Source organism: Homo sapiens, chromosome 16, assembly GCF_000001405.40.
Source record: "Homo sapiens chromosome 16, GRCh38.p14 Primary Assembly".
NCBI lineage: Eukaryota > Metazoa > Chordata > Mammalia > Primates > Hominidae > Homo > Homo sapiens.
Window position 1 is genome coordinate 87,423,142 of NC_000016.10, and position 18,631 is coordinate 87,441,772.

Here is an 18,631-nt window from a genome sequence, read left to right on the forward strand (position 1 = left end):
ACAGCACAGGCCAGTGGGCCCTAAACACGTGTGCAGTTACAACTGTGTGTACACATGCACACGGAGGCAAAGAGGCATTTATTTAGTAGTGGAACTTTCTGTTCAATGGTATCTGCTGAACCAGATATTTGTAAAGATAAACGTGGGAGGACCACTTGAGCACCAGGAGGTCAAGGCTGCAGTGAGCTGTGATGATGGTACCACCACAACCCAGCCTGGGCGAGAGCAAGATCCAGTCTCTTAAAAAAATAATAATAAAATAAATAAATAAATAAAAACAGATAAAGGTAGAACTAGGTGAAGTCTCTACCCACTCAGCCACCTGAGCATGCCTCTCTCCCCCAGCCTTTGCCAAGGAAACCTGGGGGACTGAAAAGTAACAAAAGAAACCAAATGTCCTCATCAGTCGCTCATGCCCGGCGCATCTCTCAGCCTCATCTCAGTCTCAACAAGTGAAGGAGGCATCCGCGGGGTCACGGACCTGTGCTCGCAGCAACGCTCATGTCAGCAGCGGGCCTGGGACTCCACTGTGGCTGGGCAGGAGGCCCCGCCCTGCGCACGCTCACTCGCTAGCTGAAGGGAGTGGCCTCTGAAATTACTCCGTGGTATCATCAGCCACTGGGGAATGTGATTCTTTTAATTTTTATAAGAGCCCTTGATTACCTTACCTTTGAAATAAATTCCGTCACTTCAGAGGAAGATTTGGTTACTGATGTTATTGAAGAATCAGACCACAAGACCTTAAAAACAAACAAACAAACAAACCTTAGAAACAGACACCACATACTTGGTTCCCAGCACGTGTCCTGGTACGACTGGGGCACACGTTCAGTCGGCAGCTGAGCCCAGTGGGCCGTGCACCTGCTGTGGGAAGCACCTAAGCATCCCTTGACTTGTTACAGAAAGAAGAGTCACATAGCTCCAGGCCCTCTAAAGTCTAACTTGTTTTATGCAATTATTCAGATATCACCAAATTACTCCAGAGTGGGGTCTACAGCTGCCTCCTGTAAGTTCTAGAAAATCCCTGACAATTGCTTGTGTGTGCCCTGTTCAACTTCCTCAGGGGACCTCCTCTTCTTAAGTGAGCCTATGTGCCTCAGATGCAAGAGCGACACATTCCCAGAGAGCAGCCCTTCGACCACCGGTAAGGGCCCGTGGTGCGCCCGCCCAGGTGCTGTGGGCACACAGTGAGCCCAGGCCCTGCTCTCAGGACACTGCAGAGCTGTGGGGACAGTGTGAGTCCATTGATAGCAACAGGACAGGGCAGTGATCACTAGGGCAGCAGTGATCACTGCTGGGGAAGAGCAGTGAAAAGGGCTTTCTGGAGGAGATTCTGCAACGTCTGGTGTGCCCAGCCCTTGTGAGCATCAGCTTTCCTTCCCAGCATGCAGCAGCGGGCGGTGTCACTGCATGGCTCCACGGAGGTCCATCTCCCCACATGCACGCTAAGCTCCAGGGGGGAAGGGGCGGTGTCTTTTTGCTCAGCTCTCCCCTGGCTATCACAATGCTCGTCACATGAGGTGCTAAACAAAGCTGACTGAGGGGGAAGGAGAGCGTACTTTTTGCACATTAGAGGGAGTTTCTGCATGGAGAAGAGCTTGGGTTGACTTCTGAAAGGCAAATAAGAAGTTAGCTACAGGATTGAGATGGACAGAGGGGATGGCCTGAAATGACAGGGAGGAGGCCAGGTCAGGAAGGGACAAGCACCAAATGCAAATTGCACTCAAGTCCACAAGAAGCTGGGGGATTTCAAGTCGGCAAATAAAATGACCAAATACATTATGCAAAAGAAAACGCTGTATTAACACTGATTTAGAGCAAAGAGAGCTCACAGGCACCCAAACCACCTCTGCTCCCTCACCCACACCCACACCCACATCCATGGGCCTGCAGTCTAGTCCCCGAGGTGTCCACCCTCCTGCCTGCTGAAACTGAGGCCAGTCTCGTCACATCACGTAGCGTCACTCCTGGGTCTGTTTCATCACGCCCTCATAATACACAGGCCAGTCGAGGAAAGGGCCACCTCTTCTTCACCAGAACCCCAGTGCCTACCAGAATTCATCAAGGCAAGCAGCAGCGTCCCTGGAACTAACGGCTGCAAGGCGTGCACCTTGCCACCCAGAATCTTCCACACCTAAAATGAAAATGCTTGAGGCCGGGCGCAGTGGCTCACACCTGTAATCCCAGCACTTTGGGAGGCTGAGGTGGGCGGATCACCTGAGGTCAGGAGTTCAAGACCAGCCTGACCAACGTGGAGAAACCCCGTCTCTACTAAAAATACAAAATTGGCCGGGCATGGTGGCAGGCGCCTGTAATCCTAGCTACTTGGGAGACTGAGGTGGGAGAACTGCTTGAACCCGGGAGGGGGAGGCTGCAGTGAGCCGAGATCGCGCCATTGCACTCCAGCCTGGGCAACAAGAGCGAAACTCTATCAAAAAAAAAAAAGAAAGAAAGAAAGAAAAGAAAAGAAAAGAAAATGTTTGAGCTCCTTCTCTGCCTTAAATATTAAAATCTCTCAACACCAAAAATCTTGGGGAGAGGTTCCTAAGCTGCTCCCCACACAGAACTCCAAGAACACCACCACCAACAGACACAAACCCCTGCCGTGAAGATGGCTGTCCCCCGCGCTGCTGACAGCGTGTCTCTTTCAAGGTAAAGCGTGTCATAGAAAACGTCTCCTCTGCACAGCTCTCACACCTGCCTCTAGGCTGTATCTTTCCTACTGCGCCCTAACCCAGGGAAGATGTGAAATCCACCACCCCAGCGATTAAACATGGTATGGACAGATCATCTTATGTTGAAACAGACAATCTGCTTTTCCAACAGTTATGCACTTTAATTACACAGGACTCTTCTACTTTGTGTTCGGATACATTTTTCTCTGACTTGCAGGTGCAGCTCACATTCCTCCCTAAGGCTATCAGAAAGTGAGCACTGGAAACAGAGACCGCACAGTCAGGCGGAGACCAGCCCATGTCGCTCGCTCTGCAGGTGATGCTGGCTGATGGCTAAGCTGCAGCAGCCACGATCCAGACCCAGCCAAGCCCTCTACCTCACCTGCCGACTTGCCCCAGAGAGCCAGAAGGGGAACCGGCCGTTAGAGGGGCATGGGGGCGGGAAGAGCATCCTCTTGTCATACCTGCCTGACCCGTACTATGGGGACACGTGTCCAACCATACTCACAAGCATCCACAACCAGCTACCCCATTACTTTACATTTCACCAAGAAAAAGTGTTGCCAATTAGATTCTGGCACAGCATCTTCTATCACGTCCCTGAAAAGCTACTTAGCCTTATCTGGACGAATTGTAATGCATCTTCATCACACCCCAAAGCCCAATGTGCACACAGCCCGTGCATGCTCAGGATGTCCTCACACGCAGGGTCTAGTTCCTCCGGCTCACTGTGGACTGGCTCTGAACATCAGTGTTTTTCCACACAGCCTCCCCCTCCAGAGCCACTGGAGCCATGCGGCCTCATTCTGCACAAGAAAAGGCTCAGCCAGGCACCTCTGGGGGCAGGGCTCAGCCACACCCCTAAGGGGACAGGCAGCCCAGGATCCCCCAGACCTTTGGAGACCCCTGAGGAGAGCCAAGGCCCAGCACAGAGACAGGCAAAGCCAGCAAGGAGAACACAGCAGCCAAGGGAAAGCGTGGACTCTAAGAAAACTAAAAAATTTTCATCAATATTCTTACTAAGCTAAGAGAAGAAGGCATATCCGAGAACAGGATGCTATGAAAAAACAACTGTCAGAGCCCAAGAGTTCTCTGAAATGAAAACCAGGCCAGTAGGAATGAAACGCTCAACTAAAGGCAGGAAGACGAGGCAGCCGTCCACAGAGCAGAGCAAAAACCCGACGGGACGCGGGCTCGCGTGCACGCCAGAGGAGCTCCAGCCAACAGGGGAAGATGTGGGGGAAGGAGCAGCTTTCTAAGTCCTTGTCAATCAGCAAACAAACACAAAACAGCTCCAGTGGAAACAGTGTTGGATACTGGGTGAGACATGAAGACACCCAGAATCTCCACTCAGCTCTGCCACGGGTCACCTTCTGCAGCCACACTCATCACCACAGGTCCCCCAACCTTGGAGGGCAGGGTCTACCTAGTGCCTGCTGCTCTGGCAATGCCTGAGGAATCACTGGGCCCTCTGCTGTGCAGGTGTACACGTGATAAAAACAGAGACTCAGGGAAGCCTCACTTGCCAGGACTCCTTCTTTGCTAACAGTGACTGACAGCGTACTCGGAGCAGTCAGTGTTGCTTGGGGTATGAACTTTTTTTTCTTTTTGAGACAGAGTTTTGCTCTGCTGCCCAGGCTGGAGTGCAGTGGCGCGATCTCAGCTCACTGCAACCAACCTCCGCCTCCCGGGTTTAAGCGATCCTTGTGCTTCAGCCACCCAAGTGAAAAAATAAACTTTGAAAGAAAAGATAACACTAAAATAACGTCTGGGTGACTTTAAAGGATGGTTTAATAAGAGTTGTTTATTAGTATTGTTTTATCATTTTTTTTCTTTTTTGAGACAAGGTCTCTCACTGTCGCCCAAGTTGGAGTGCAGTGGCATGATCTTGGCTCACTGCAGCCTTGACCTCCCAGGCTCAAGTGATCCTCCCACCTCAGCCTCCTCAGTAGCTGGGAATATAGGTGAGTGCCACAATGACCAACTACTTTTTGTACTTTTTGCACTTTTTGCAGTGATGGGGTTTCACCATGTCACCCAGGCTGGCTCAAGCGATCCGTCTGCCTCAGCCTCCCACAGTGCTGGGATTTACAGGCATGAGCCACTGCACCTGGCCTCTATGATTTTTTTTTTTTTTTTTTTTAAGAGACAGGTCTCACTGTGTTGCCCAGGCTAGTCACAGTCTCCTGGCCTCCAGGTGATGCTCCTGCCTCAGCTGCCTACATGCTGACTTTATATCAAAAAGGTTCCATCATTTGATTCCTGCATATTGGTTTGATTTCCTCAGCAACGAGGAACTAGCGATTATAATTTCAGCAAAATCAAAACCAACTCCATAGAAAAAAAGCTTGAAGTCATCTTAATCCAGTTACTTATATCTTCCTATAAAACAGTAACCTTTTGTATCCTGGAAAACAACGATACATAAAAATTAAAACGAGAAACAGGCTGAGAAAATCAGTGGGGCAGGGAGAAGTTACTTATTTCTCCCTGAATAAGTGAAAGTTTTTAGAAAAAAACGTTTCTTTGAATCTTGCCATACTGTCGGCAACAGACTGTTCCACCTCAGCAAAGCACAGCAGGCATTCCTACGAATGCTGGCTTATTGCTCTGGTCACAGTATAATTGCTATTTATTTCCACTTACAAAGGACAACTTACTTAAAGGACAATTTGATTTTCATTAGTCAAGGTTCTATGGACAAAAGGAAAATTTGAATCTTCAAGTATTTTTTTTTAACAAAAGGAGTTGTAATGAATTATAACTGACGATGAACTGCACGTATTTAAAGGGGTCCATCTGCTGTTCTGATCTGAGGGCACCTGTGAGCCATGCCCCACCATGGCAGGGAGCATCACCCCTGAGGTGTCCTCCAGCCCCTCCCCAGGAAACCACTGACTGCTTTCTGTTGCTACAGATGAGTCTGCATTTTCTAGAATTTTATATAACTAGACTCATAAACGGACTCACTGAGTATAAACTTTTTGGAAGGAGTCGTCTAGTTTCTTTCACACAACACGAGATTCGTGCATATGGCTGAGTATCTCAGTTGTCCATTCTGAGACCCCTCAGCATTACTGCCGGGGGTGGTATTCCACTGCGTGGACATAACACCAGGGTTGGCCTGTCCACGCGCCTGTGAACGGGTGTCTTCGTTGTTGACAGTCTTGGAACGTTACAAACAAAGCTGCTATAAACACTCATGCATGAATCTTTTATGAACATGTGCTTAATTCCCCCAGGGTAAATACCTAGGCTGGAACTTACGGGTCATACTTTTTAAGAAACTGCCAGACTGTTTTCCGAAATAGCTGCACCATTTCACATTCCCACCATCAGTGAATGTGATTCTAGCTCCCCCACACCGCAGCCTGAGGTGGGTGGGGCCGGCGTTTTTCATTCCAGTATTTCAAGAGGTGTGCAGTGCCCTTTCACTGTGGTTGACTTAGCATTTTCCTAATGATGAGGATGGTGACTATCTTTTCACATGTGTTTATGTGCCACCCATGTATCTTCCTTGGCAAATCATCTTTTTTTTTCTTTGTGGAGACAGGGTCTCACTGTTGCCCAGGCTAGTCTTGAACTCCTGGCCTCAAGGGATATTCCTGCCTCAGCCTCCCGAGTAGCTGGAACTGCAGGCATGTGCCACTACACCTGGCAGAACTCTCAAAACTTAGTAAGAAGCAGCAACTTGTTGGGCATGGCGGCTCATGCCAGCAACCTAGGCGGCCAGGACAGGAGGATCCCTTGAGGCAAGAGTTCAAGACCAGTCTGGGTGACAGAAGGAGACACTATCTCTTTTTTTTTCCCAGGCAGTTTTGCTTTTGTTGCCCAAGCTGGAGTGCAGTGGCATGATCTTGGCTCACTGCAACCTCCGCCTCCTGGCTTCAAGCAATTCTCCTGCCTCAGCCTCCCAAGCAGCTAGGATTACAGGTACCAGCTACCACGCCTGGCTAATTTTTCTATTTTTACTAGAGAGAGGGTTTTGCCATCTTGGCTAGGCTGGTCTCAAACTCCTGACCTCAGGTGATCCGTCCGCCTTGGGCTCCCAAAGTGCTGGCATTACAGGCGTGAGCCACCGCGCCCAGCCGGAGACCCCATCTCTTAAAAAAAAGTTTTGAGAATTCTTTATACATTTTGAACATATAAATCCTTCATCAGCTACATGACTTGCAAATATTTTCTCCTAATCTTTGCCTTTTCATTCTCTTCATAGCATCTCTCAAAGAGAAAGTTTCAAATCTTAATATATTCTAATTCATCGATGTTGTCTTTTATGGATGTTTTCAGCACCGTATCTCAGAAATCTTCACCTAGTTTAAAATCACAAAGTGTGTTTCCTCCCAGTAGTTTTTGTTTTGGGTTTACATTTAGGTCTCCGATCACTTCTGAGTTAATTTGGTGTAAGGGCAGCGGCGGGAGTCAAGGCTTGCTTCTCCTGCATACGGACGTCTGTTCCAGGGTGTCTGCTGAAAAGCGCATCCTTTCTTTGTGGCACTCCTTCATACCCGGCCTGTGCGTGTGAGTCTGTCTGGAGCCTCTTCTGTCCCACTCATCTGTGCTGCCTTCCCTTTTGCTACCTCACAGCGTTGTGATCCTGCTGTTCGAGAAGGCTTGAAATCAGGTTGTGCAAGTCTTCCAATTCGTTTCTTCTTTTCAAAATTAATTACTCAAGTTCTTTCCATATCACTTTAACTTGATTTCTTTCTTTTTTTTTTTTTTTGAGATGCAGTCTCGCTCTGTTGCCCAGGCTGGAGTGCAGTGGTACAATCTCGGCTCACTGCAACCTCTGCCTCCCAGGTTCAAGCGATTCCCCGGCCTCAGCCTCCCGAGTAGCTGGGACTACGGGTGCCCGCCACCGCGCCCGGCTAATTTTTGTATTTTTAGTAGAGTCAGGGTTTCACCATGTTGGCTAGGCTGGTCTTGAACTCCTGACCCCAAGTGATCCACCCACCTTGGCCTCCCAAAGTGCTGGGATTACAGGTGTGAGCCACTGTGCCCCGCTAACTTTCAGAATCAACTTGATTTCTAAAATAGAAAAATCTGGCCAGGTGCACTCATGCCTGTAATCCCAGCACTTTGGGAGGCTGAGGCGGGCAGATCGCTTGAGCAGGGGAGTTTGAGACCAGCCTGAACAACACGGTGAAACCCTATCTCCACAAAAGTACAAAAAATTAGCTGGGTATGGTGGCATGTGCCTGTGGTCCCAGCTACTAGGAGGCTAAGGTGAGGGGACTGCTTAAGCCCAGGAGATCGAGGCTGTAGTGAACCAAGATCATGCTACTGCACTCCAGCCTGGTGACAGAGCAAGACAGTGTCAAAAAAAAGAAAGAAAAAAGAAAAGAAATGAGAAAGGAAAGGAAAAGAAAAGAAAAGGCCAGGTACAGTGGCTCACGCCTGTAATCCCAGCACTTTGGGAGGCCGAGGCGGGTGGATCAGGAGGTCAGGACATTGAGACCATCCTGGCTAACATGGTGAAACCCCGTCTCTACTAAAAATACAAAAAATTAGCTGGGCATGGTGGCGGGCACCTGTAGTCCCAGCTACTCAGGAGGCTGAGGCAGGAAAATGGTGTGAACCCGGGAGGCGGAGCTTACAGTGAGCCGAGATCGCGTCACTGCACTCCAGCCTGGGCGACAGAGCAAGGCTCTGTCTGAAAAAAAAAAAAAAAAAAAGAAAAGAAAAGAGAAAAGTAAAGCAAAGCTATGGCCGGTCAGGTTGTATGAAGTTCTCACACCTTACACTGTGTGGACCTGACTCCTGATTTCCTCACCACAAATAACTGGACTAACTGGACTAAGGATTGGGAGCAAATCAAAGCCCACTGTGCTATGACCATATGCGAAGACAGCTCCGTGCACAGCACCTTCTTAAGTGCACAGTCCCCACCAGTATCTGAAGAGGCCTGACACCGCAATGCAAGGAATGAAGGAAGGTGTCACACGCGACCACTGCAAAATGTCAGCAAATACCTAGGATCACTGGGACCGCTGCTGGGTTCCAGGGCACTCAGAGGGCCCCTGTGGTCTTTCCCTGGGCTCCGCCTGGGCTGCACGACATGAGACCCAGAAACTCCGTGGGCGCCGAGACTCCGGCACTACCATCACAGGCACCAGCAACCTCCAAACCTCAGCAGCTGAGGATTTTCCTTACATTTTCAAATGAAAAACGCACAGCGTAACAACTGCTTGTCACAACACAGTCTCCCAAACCAAGTGGAGACTTGTCCCTTTAGTGGAAAAAGGATTTGAAGTATTTTTGTGTAGCTACACTCTTCAAAAAATTAGTAAGCTGCACAGATGAGTCATGCCAGATGCTCACAGGAGTTCTGTCTGGAGAGCACTCTCCAATGACGCTGGGAACCGACCTTCAAGAGCAGTCAGCACTCGATGCACATGTGGTCCAAGGAGAATGTCCCCCTGTCAGGGTTCCTGACAGAGCCCTGACTGGGAGCTCGGCACCATCAGCCGGGACACATTTCCCAGCCTTTTAGGCATCTAGGTGGGACCAAGAAATTAAATCTGGCCAACAAAATATAAGTGAAGTGTCTAGAGGCTGCTTTCAGGAATGTTCCTTAAGAGAAAGATTTCAAGCCTGCCTTTCTTCCTCCTGCTGCCCAGGATGAACGCGTGAGGACTGGTGCCCTGGCTAGCACCTTGGGCCGGGAGCAGAGGGCCACATCCTAGGGATGGCACAGAGTAGCCAGAGGGGGCCTGTACCCCTAAGGGCACCCTCAGGTTCTGATGGGGTACAGCGTCCAGGGAACGGGGTGGCCTCCTGCACGCCCTGCTGTGAGAGGGAAATGGGCTTCTGGCCATCTCGACCCTGGTCACCGTGGGTCACCGGGAAACACAATACTGCTCCTCTCTCCTGATTCTTTGTGGTACCCAACTTCAGTGACCAGCTCCCAGCATCTGAACGTGTCAGTTTAAGGAGCGTTCCCTGCCCAGACCAAGGAGCTTTCATCATCAGTCTCCAGAGGCACCACGGCCCCGGGTTCTGTGTGCGCTGCTCCGCAGGCTGCCTCATCCAGTTCTGCTATTTAGCCCCCTGAGGTATGCACCATTCACACCTGAACTGACAACCCCAGGCCCTGCCCGAGCCCCCACCCTTCCCGCCTGCAGAGGCCCCCCAGCCAACAACCCCCACCCTGGAGACAGCCCACCCCGAGCTCAGGGCCAGCTTCCTATACAGCACTGGCACGGGGCTTTGCACAAGGCACAGCCTTAGCTAGGAAGGAAAAGCATCTCCAGGGTAAGTGTTTTCTTCCTAGCCTTCCAGGAGAGAGGGGAAAAAAACTTAGCATCTTACCTCAAAGGAACATTCAACATTTCTGTCATTTTTTGTGTGTGATAATCCCTTCAGGTCTATCTTTTCAACACTCACTGTAAAAGTAAAACAAAAAACAAAAATGAAATAAGAGCTTGAAGTATATACATGATTATTTAGCATTTGATATTCAGCAGTTTTCAAAACCAGGTTCTCAGCACCCAAGGCTGTCCTGTCACTTTGGTGGCATCTCACCTAGAACCAGAGCCCAGAGAGGAAGGCGGGCGGCAGCACCAATGCAGGGCAGATTCACAACAGAAAGGAGGGAAAGCAAAGCCACACCTGGCAATGGAAGGGCAGGAACGGCACTGGAGTACAGACACACGTTTATGGACCCAGTGAGAGCCCAGCAGTAGCTACAACTGAGAATCTGTGCAGCCTCCCGGGTTCACCCTCAAAACCGTTACGAATCTGTCCCAACTTCTGAAAAGGTAATGCTCAGCATTTTCAACTGTGACTGTTTAAGACAATATTTCCCCAAGAACACAGTCACCTGGGGGGTCTCTTCTATGTATTTTCTTCTTTTTTCTTTTTTTTTTGAGACGGAGTCTCACTCTGTCTCGGCGGCTCACTGCAACCTCTGCCTCCTGGGTTCAAGCGATTCTCGTGCCTCGGCCTCCCCAGTAGCTGGGATTACAGGCGCATGCACCACCGTGCCTGGCTGATTTTTGTACTTTTAGAAGAGATGGGGTTTTGCCATGTTGGCCAAGTTGGTCTCAAACTCCTGACCTCAGGTGATCCGCCCGCCTCAGCCTCCCAACGTGCTGGATTTACAGGCGAAAGCCACCGTGCCTGGCCTTTCTTTTCAGGAGAATTCATTCTCATCCTTCTCTGCGAGGGCAAGGATGAGGAGACCAGAACAACAGTCCTGGGGGAGTCAGGAAGATAGCACCGTCTGGGAGCAGAGCCGGGCTGCAGTGAATGAAGCTGCACGGGATGGACAGCCAGAGGGATGAGCGGCCTCACCAGGGAGCCCGGAAGGCATCAGCCTACTCATCCCGTTTTCCACGTACACTGGTGCGTGTTTTTCTCATCAAAAATAAGATGATACAATTAGGTTTTAAGCACTATTTTTAAATGAGCCCAAATATCTGCTCAAAATAAAACAGCCGCGTATCGAACATGCTGTAGTTTCTGACTCAGCCTCATCAAGGCAGGCCTGCCCCGCTGATCCAGCGCTGAAGTTTCTCACTGCCCAACACACCCGGCTCTGCCAGCTTCCACACTTCCCAGGCGCCAGGAGCCCCACGCCGAGCTTTACACATAACTGGGAAAGAGGCTACGGGAGCATTCTCCCTCCTTCCTCCACCAGCCTTCGCTGGGTCTGGAGGCCACCTGGCCGCGTGCGACGGGGATGTCTGCTAATTTGTAGAATCTAACTTTGTCCAACGTGAAATACTCAACACAACTTCTCAGAACTGTGAATGTGACACTTCCTGCAGGCACCCAAAGACCGCCTGGTCTCCTGCACCACCGTTCTCCAGAGCCCTCTCCACGGGCGCCAGTGCTCACACAAGGTCACGGCCACCTCAAAAAACCGTATGGCCAAAAAGTTTTTTGGGGTGGTTGGGAGCAGTGGCTCACGCCTGGTATCCCAGCACTTTGGGGGGCCGAGGCAGGCAAATCACAAGGTCAGGAGTTCGAGAGCAGCCTGGCCAACATGGTGAATCCCTGTCTCTACTGAAAAGACAAAAAATTAGCTGGGTGTAGTGGCGGACACCTGTAATCCCAGCTACTCGGGAGGCTGAGGCAGGAGAATTGCTTGAACCTGGGAGGCGGAGGTTGCAGTGAGCCGATATCGCGCCATTGCACTCCAGCCTGGGCAACAAAGTGAGACTTCGCCTCAAAAAAAAAAAAAAAAAAAAAAAAAGACGTTTTTTGGGAAAAAAAAATCTCAGAAACTCCTTGTAAACTGTCAATGTACATTAGGATATTAAGGACTCTGACAAGTCCTACAGTACATTATAATTTTTTAAACGATTCCCCACATTTTTTGGCAACTTCTTCTCCTAACATACACGAACCTCTCCTAGAGCAAGGACCTGCTCTGTGCACACGCTCTGGGGATGGTTCTAAGCCTGCACTGCCCAAATCACCCGTGGCAAGTTAAGTTAATTAAGAAGGAATAAAATTAAACGTTCAACCCCCAGTTGTCCTGAAGAACCACGCTGAGGGTTCTGCAGCCATGGGAGGCTAGTGGCTGCCACGCTGGGCGGTGTGCTCCCAGACAGCGCTGTCTAAACCAACACCCGCCCGTCCGTGAGCAGCTCTGTGGGCCTCCACATGCCCCTCATCTGCATGTCCTCTGTGGCCACCCCGTGATACCATGGCTGAGGAGCTGTGCCAGACACCACCCTGCTCCTGGAGCCAACGACACTGACTCCCTGTATCTGCAGAATGAGCCAGCCAACCCTGCGCTGAACCAACCATCCTCGCTCGCTCCCCAGCGTGTGCTGCAAACACCCGGCCACGTCCCAGGTCACCCTGCAGGTGCTGTGAGGGTCGTGGAGCACGAGGCAGCGGGCGCTGCGCTCCCAGCGGCACCACCTGCTCCTCCAGGGAACCTCGTGCATCTCACGGATGCGGGAGTCCACTCGCTTTAGAGTTCTTTAAGCTTAAAATAGCACCTCACAGGAAGGAATTACTATAAAAAATACAAATGTTTATTTCCTTTCTGGCAAAACAAAGAGCACAGCACATTTAGAGGCTACACAGCCCTGCTGATGTTCACTTAGTGGAACTACACGCTGTTCCTGCCTGACTTCCTCAGTCAGACTGTCAGCAAATACATAGCTTTTATGTTTTTCTAAAGCAGTACTTCTAAAACTTCCCACAATGACATCACTCTAATCCATGTATTTTACTTTTTTAAACAACATATAGTGTCAATGAATACAGAAACATGTAGTCAGCATTCTCCCTGGCCACAAACACCATGTGTACCTCATGTCCCAGGACTGAATAATATTAGGGTTTATGAAAAAAGTAAAAGGAAAAAAAACCCATCTGGACTGAGAGTAGGAAGTGACTCAGTCATATTTCATATCTGGACAGGAAAATGGGAAAAAGCAGATGAATGTTATTCAGCTGTTTTCAAATAAAAGAGGCATTTCCAATTCTAGGCTCCAAATGTTGGCGCATCCCTCTGCAGAATGGCTAGCCTGGGCAGTGGCGGCCCCCCGCCAGGGCACCTCCGGGCCCAGGAGCGACGCAGCGAGGCTCCCTCTACTCCTGCCCTGGACCCCATGTGCTCCGCGGGCTCTGAAGGCTGAGAAGAGGAGCCTGGGAGAGAGGGAAGACCAGGCACAAGGAGTGAGGGGCCGGGCTAGTGCGGGGGCTGGGTGACCAGCCTGAGTCAAGGTCAGGAAAGATTTCAGCACGCTCTCAACTCTGCAGCCATTAGACGCTGTGATTCGAAAAACCACAACAAGAAAAAAGGCTGATAGAGCAGCAGGATAAATAGCTCACACATGCCGGGCTTACGCCTAAGTGATGGGCTGATGGGTGCAGCAACACATCATGGCACACATTTACCTATGTAACAACCTGCACATCCTGCACACGTACCCCAGAACTTAAAAGAAAAAAAGAAAAAAGCCTCGGATATTAACTGGAAAATTACAAATTCTATGCATAACATGATGACAGTTTTGTTTAAAATGGAAATGAAAACACTAAAACTAAACGATCGAAAGTGATGGGAACAGCTGTGTACGGTGGCGAAGTGAAGAGTAGCTTTTCCCCACATTTCTGTAATGTGGTTTTGCCATCTCAAAGCGAATACCTATCTGCACGCAGACACTCATTACAACCCACTTCCAGTCTGCCCCCAGTGTGGCCGCCTTCCCCTCCCTCCCTGGTCAGCCCCACTGCCTTCTGTGGAGCGTAAGCAAATGCCTAGATAAATTCAGGGGCGGCCGGGAGCTCACACCTGTAATCCCAGCACTTTGGGAGGCTGAGGCAGGTGGATCACCTGAGGTCAGGAGTTAGAGACCAGCCTGACCAACATGGAGAAACTCCGTCTCTAGTAAAAATACAAAATTAGCCGGGCGTGGTGGCTCATGCCTGTAATCACAGTTACTTGGGAGGCTGAGGCAGGAGAATCACTTGACCCCAGGAGGCAGAGGTGGCAGTGAGCTGAGATTTGCGCCATTGCACTCCAGCCTGGGCAACAAGAGTGAAATTCCATCTCAAAAAAAAAAAAAAAAAAAAAAAAAAAATTCAGGGGCAAACATCACCCCATCACCTGAGAGAGCAGAGCCAGAGGGACCACAAAGACAGGATCCGCGCTGGCCAGAAAGCCTCCGTGAGGAAAGCATTCACGTGCGTAAAAATGGCGATTCGGCCACAGCGCGTGGCAGCCAAGGCCATGAGGAGGCTCTGCTGGAGCACTGAGGCTGGTCAGCACCGCACCCAGGCAGGCCTGTGTGGGGACAAACACGGCTGGGGCAAAGGGACCCGAGGCTGGGCCAGGCCTGCGCCCTCCTGAAGTAAGAACACGAAGGATGATATACTTTTCCCTTTGAAATGTTTGTCTGTTCAAACCTTTCTTCTTTTCTCATTCCAGGTACACAACAGGCATTTTCCTCAAGTCTTACAAGTTAGATCACACAGCCTTCGATAAAATGTATATTCACATCGACTATCATTTTATAATTGAATCAACACCTACATTTAGAAACCAGTACTCTAACGTAGCAACTGAAAAAGGGAGGGAAGCTGGAATAAGAATGGTGATGTCCAAAGTCAGGCCTCCCTTTGGTCCAACTGCACCACACCACGGTGTTTCGATGCCAAGGTGTACAGCTTCTGATTTTTTCCTTTTACACTTCAGTGCCTCTACAATCAGATGCCAGGACCATCTCACACCTGCTGCTGGCCATGTGGCAGGAATAACATGGTTGTGACAGCCTGCCACCTATGGAGAAAATGAGGAAAAACCCAGCAACCCACCCACAAAGCGGGTACAGTAGCTTAGGAGAAACTCCAAAACAGCAACCGGGCACGCGCTCCAATGCTGTGGTACCGCAGCACTGCGTGGCACACAGAGCCCACTGCACAGGAGGAATGCACGCCCCGACCCAGCCGGCTGGACGGCGTGCACGGGGGCTGGACTCTGTGTGTCAACTGCAGGAGCACCTCACCTCATTTATTTGGATATTTTCCTTTCTATGCATGTACAAGAATGATATTATGAAACTCTGCAGCCAAGTCTTAAAGGGCTCTTTCAATAAAACTATGACCAATAAAAAGCAGCATGTTAGTTTTGTGGGCAATGTGTTTACTTTTTTAGATACAGAGAAAGTCTTCCAGCCAGTAGCAACTCACAGTTAATGACACACGGGAAGGAGACGGAATGATGCCTCCCAAGACCTGAGTTCGAATATTCATTGAGTAACTAAGGTCAGTTTTGTGTCTGCTTCCTCATTTGTTTAATGGGGATAGTAGCTTAAAAGGGCCAATAGTTTGTAATCAAATATGAATAAAAACAGGAAATGGTCCTAATAAGTATAAAGATATAAAATCCCCAAGAAATAAAGGGCCCTGCTGGGGCATTCACACGAGGCCTGGGCCCACGGTCAGCACTGCCCCCGGTCTTCCTCCTGCTTGGGGCATTCACAGGAGGCCCGGGCCCACCGTCGGCACTGCCCCGGTCTTCCTCCCGCTACAGAGGAACAGCAGAGGGCCCTACAGTGGAGTCCCTGAAATGCAACTGATTTATCTCCATGGAGCCTATGGCTCCAGAGGTGAAGTGTCCTGCCTCACCTTTGTTACTAATGAGCAGACCGTATTATTTAGTTAAGATGTATTTCTGGATTATAAGGGACTCAGAATCCTAGGAGCTAAATTTACCACTATATTGCTATTTACACAAGCTAAGACAAGCCACGAACATTACCAAGTTTCCTTTCTGAAGTGCCCTGCGTATGGATTATGGAATCTTCTTTATAGGATTCCAAAAGGCCTGGGAGGACGACCCTCATACAAGTTCTTTTTTTTTTTTTCTTTTTTTAGAGGGAGTCTTGCTCTGTCGCCAGGCTGGAGTGGCATGATCTCAGTTCACTGCAACCTCTGCCTCCGAGGTTCAAGTGATTCTCCTGCCTCAGCCTCCTGAGCAGCTGGGACTACAGGCACGCACCACCATGCCCAGCTAATTTTTGTATTTTTAGTAGAGATGGGGGTTGCACTATGTTGACCAGGCTGGCCTCAATCTCCTGACCTTGTGATTCACCCGCCTCGGCCTCCCAAAGTGCTGGGATTACAGGCGTGAGCCACTGTGCCTGGCCACAAGTTCTTACTCCTCACTTTGCTAAGCAGTCTCCCCCTTGGCATTCTGCCTTAATGACCAAGTGCGATTTCCAAAGTAAAGCAAAGCTGAATCAAAAACCTATGATATTCCTATAAATTAAAAAATAAAAAGATTAAATCTTGAGATAGACACCTCACTCTGATTTGATCATTACACATTATATACATATATCAAAATATCACATACACCTCCAACCCAAAAGATGTAGGTATAACTATGAGATATCCATAGAAAATAAACACATCTTACAAGTTACATTAAAAAACCACATACATTTTAAACAAACAAGATCTTAGAGGATGATTAAAATGTTACAAAGTCAAAATACAGGTAACCACATCAATTCTGTATCTTATATATCTAATTCTACAATGACTAGGTTGGTAAATCAAACCACAGGACAATCAGCACAATAGTTGTTAAGTATTTTGCTGTCTACCAGCAGCTCTCTACATCCTTTAATTAAAACGAACCAAACATTTTCCCACACAATTTTATGCTGCTAACAAGCATTTTTAAAAGTTTATTTATTTTAGAGATGGGGCCTGCCTATGTTACCCAGGCTGCGCTCGAACTCCAGGGCTCCAGCAATCCTCCTGCCTCAGCTTTCTACGCAGCCAAGACTACAGGTGAAAGCCGCTGTGCCCGGCCTAACATGCACTTTGAATTCACTGACTGAAATGCATGCGACAGTATGCTTTTATGTTTACAATTTTTTTTTTTTTTAAGATAAGAGTTTTGCTCTGTCGCCCAGTCTGGAGTGCAGTGGTGCAATCTCAGCTCACTGCAACCTCCATCTCCTGAGTTCAAGCGATTCTTGTGCCTCAGCCTCCTGAGTAGCTGGGATTACAGGCGCACACCACCACGCCTGGCTAATTTTTGCATTTTTAGTAGAGACAGGGTTTCGACATATTGGTCAGGCTGGTCTCGAACTCCTAACCTCAAGTGATCCACCCACCTTGGCCTCCCAAAGTGCTGGGATTACAGGCATGAGCCACCGTGCCCAGCTGATTCTAAAGTTTTAGACAGAGAGATCAGGCATTTTATAAAACAGAATTTGTAACATGTTTCAGGAAGGCACCAAACAGGGAAGTATCCAGAGGTCACTGGCCACATCCCAGACTATGCATAAACTGATTCCTCACAACAAAATACCCTTCATTTTCTTTTTGACAGGGTCTCACTCTGTCGCCCAGGCTGAAGTGCAGTGGTGTGATCTTGGCTCACTGCAGCCTCGACCTCCTGGGTCCAAGTGATCCACCCACCTCAGCCTCCTGAGTAGCTGGCTCTACAGGCATGCATCACCATGCCCAGCCGATTTTTGTATTTTTTTTTTGTAGACACGGGGTTTCGCCATGTCACCCAGGCTGCTTGCTCTGGAACTCCTGGACTCAAGTGATCTGCCTGCCTTGGCCTCCCAAAGTACTGGGCTTACAGGCCTGCACCTTCACGCCCAGCCCTGCCCTTCATTTTCAGATGAAAGCATAGAAATACTCTCTAACATCAGTCTTCTATCTGCTATTATACATATGCGACTGTTCCCATAAAGTTTTTTTTTTTTTTTTGGAGATAGAGTTTCGCTCTGTCACCCAGGCTGGAGTGCAGCGGCGCCATCTCGGCTCACTGCAAGCTCCGCCTCCCGGGTTCACGCCTCAGCCTCCCAAGTAGCTGGGACTACAGGCGCCCGCCACCACGCCCAGCTAATTTTTTGTATTTTTAGTAGACACTGGGTTTCACCGTGTTAGCCAGGATGGTCTCGATCTCCCGACCTCGTGATCCGCCCGCCTCGGCCTCCCAAAGTGCTGGGATTACAGGCGTGAGCCACCATGCCCGGCCTCCCATACACCTTCATATAAATACTCAAGCTGATTACTAATAGAGTCACCTACATTATCTTAATATGCTTCATCTTTCCCGGTTTTGTCTTGGGGTCAGAAGAAGTATTTATGTACAAAAATCTTTTATTAAGTCCATTTCTTTTTTTTTGTCTTTGATTTTCCTTATCTCCCATTCATATTTATTGTTTAAGTCTGTAGTTCTATTGGATTCAAGTTTGAAAGGCAACACAAAACTCCTCTCCAACATAAACATACTGGTGTTACTCCATTTGTGCCTCCAGAGTAAGAACACAAAACAAAATCTGAACTAGAACTCTGATTTTAGCAAATAAAATTAGGGGCTTTATTGTAGGAAAATATGTTTTTCTTAAAGGTACAATCGACAACTCTGAGATTAAAAATAATTCATCAATAAATAGCCACATATTCTAGCGCATTAAAAAGGCACTCTTATAAAGTTGTTACAGCTTTCCTCTTAC

General features: G+C 49.0%; 1 protein-coding gene across 4 annotated transcripts in view, besides 5 other annotated features; it reads right to left on the reverse strand.

Annotated features, from left to right (window-relative positions):
* The window catches only part of ZCCHC14 (zinc finger CCHC-type containing 14), an 86,777-nt gene that overhangs the window by 16,894 nt on the left and 51,252 nt on the right, over positions 1–18,631 (reverse strand). For all 4 annotated transcript variants that reach the window (XR_243401.4, NM_015144.3, XM_005255858.4 and 1 more), the window contains exons 3-4: positions 9,987–10,060; positions 669–740 (exon numbers count right to left, since the gene is read on the reverse strand). Coding sequence is in view for 3 of the 4 variants with exons in the window: in NM_015144.3 (NP_055959.2) it covers positions 669–740; positions 9,987–10,060 (146 nt within the window). In the remaining variant the exon portion in view is untranslated. The remainder of the gene's footprint in view (positions 1–668; positions 741–9,986; positions 10,061–18,631) is intronic.
* Positions 34–543: an enhancer, noted in NCBI's record as "H3K4me1 hESC enhancer chr16:87456781-87457290 (GRCh37/hg19 assembly coordinates)". NCBI's record gives its function as "activates a minimal SCP1, AML or CMV promoter by ChIP-STARR-seq in primed H9 embryonic stem cells {active_cell/tissue: H9 hESC(primed)}" and the evidence as "EXISTENCE:reporter gene assay evidence [ECO:0000049][PMID:30033119]".
* Positions 544–1,051: an enhancer, noted in NCBI's record as "H3K4me1 hESC enhancer chr16:87457291-87457798 (GRCh37/hg19 assembly coordinates)". NCBI's record gives its function as "activates a minimal SCP1, AML or CMV promoter by ChIP-STARR-seq in primed H9 embryonic stem cells {active_cell/tissue: H9 hESC(primed)}" and the evidence as "EXISTENCE:reporter gene assay evidence [ECO:0000049][PMID:30033119]".
* Positions 2,070–2,579: an enhancer, noted in NCBI's record as "H3K4me1 hESC enhancer chr16:87458817-87459326 (GRCh37/hg19 assembly coordinates)". NCBI's record gives its function as "activates a minimal SCP1, AML or CMV promoter by ChIP-STARR-seq in primed H9 embryonic stem cells {active_cell/tissue: H9 hESC(primed)}" and the evidence as "EXISTENCE:reporter gene assay evidence [ECO:0000049][PMID:30033119]".
* Positions 3,596–4,103: an enhancer, noted in NCBI's record as "H3K4me1 hESC enhancer chr16:87460343-87460850 (GRCh37/hg19 assembly coordinates)". NCBI's record gives its function as "activates a minimal SCP1, AML or CMV promoter by ChIP-STARR-seq in primed H9 embryonic stem cells {active_cell/tissue: H9 hESC(primed)}" and the evidence as "EXISTENCE:reporter gene assay evidence [ECO:0000049][PMID:30033119]".
* Positions 11,920–12,837: an enhancer, noted in NCBI's record as "H3K4me1 hESC enhancer chr16:87468667-87469584 (GRCh37/hg19 assembly coordinates)". NCBI's record gives its function as "activates a minimal SCP1, AML or CMV promoter by ChIP-STARR-seq in naive H9 embryonic stem cells {active_cell/tissue: H9 hESC(naive)}" and the evidence as "EXISTENCE:reporter gene assay evidence [ECO:0000049][PMID:30033119]".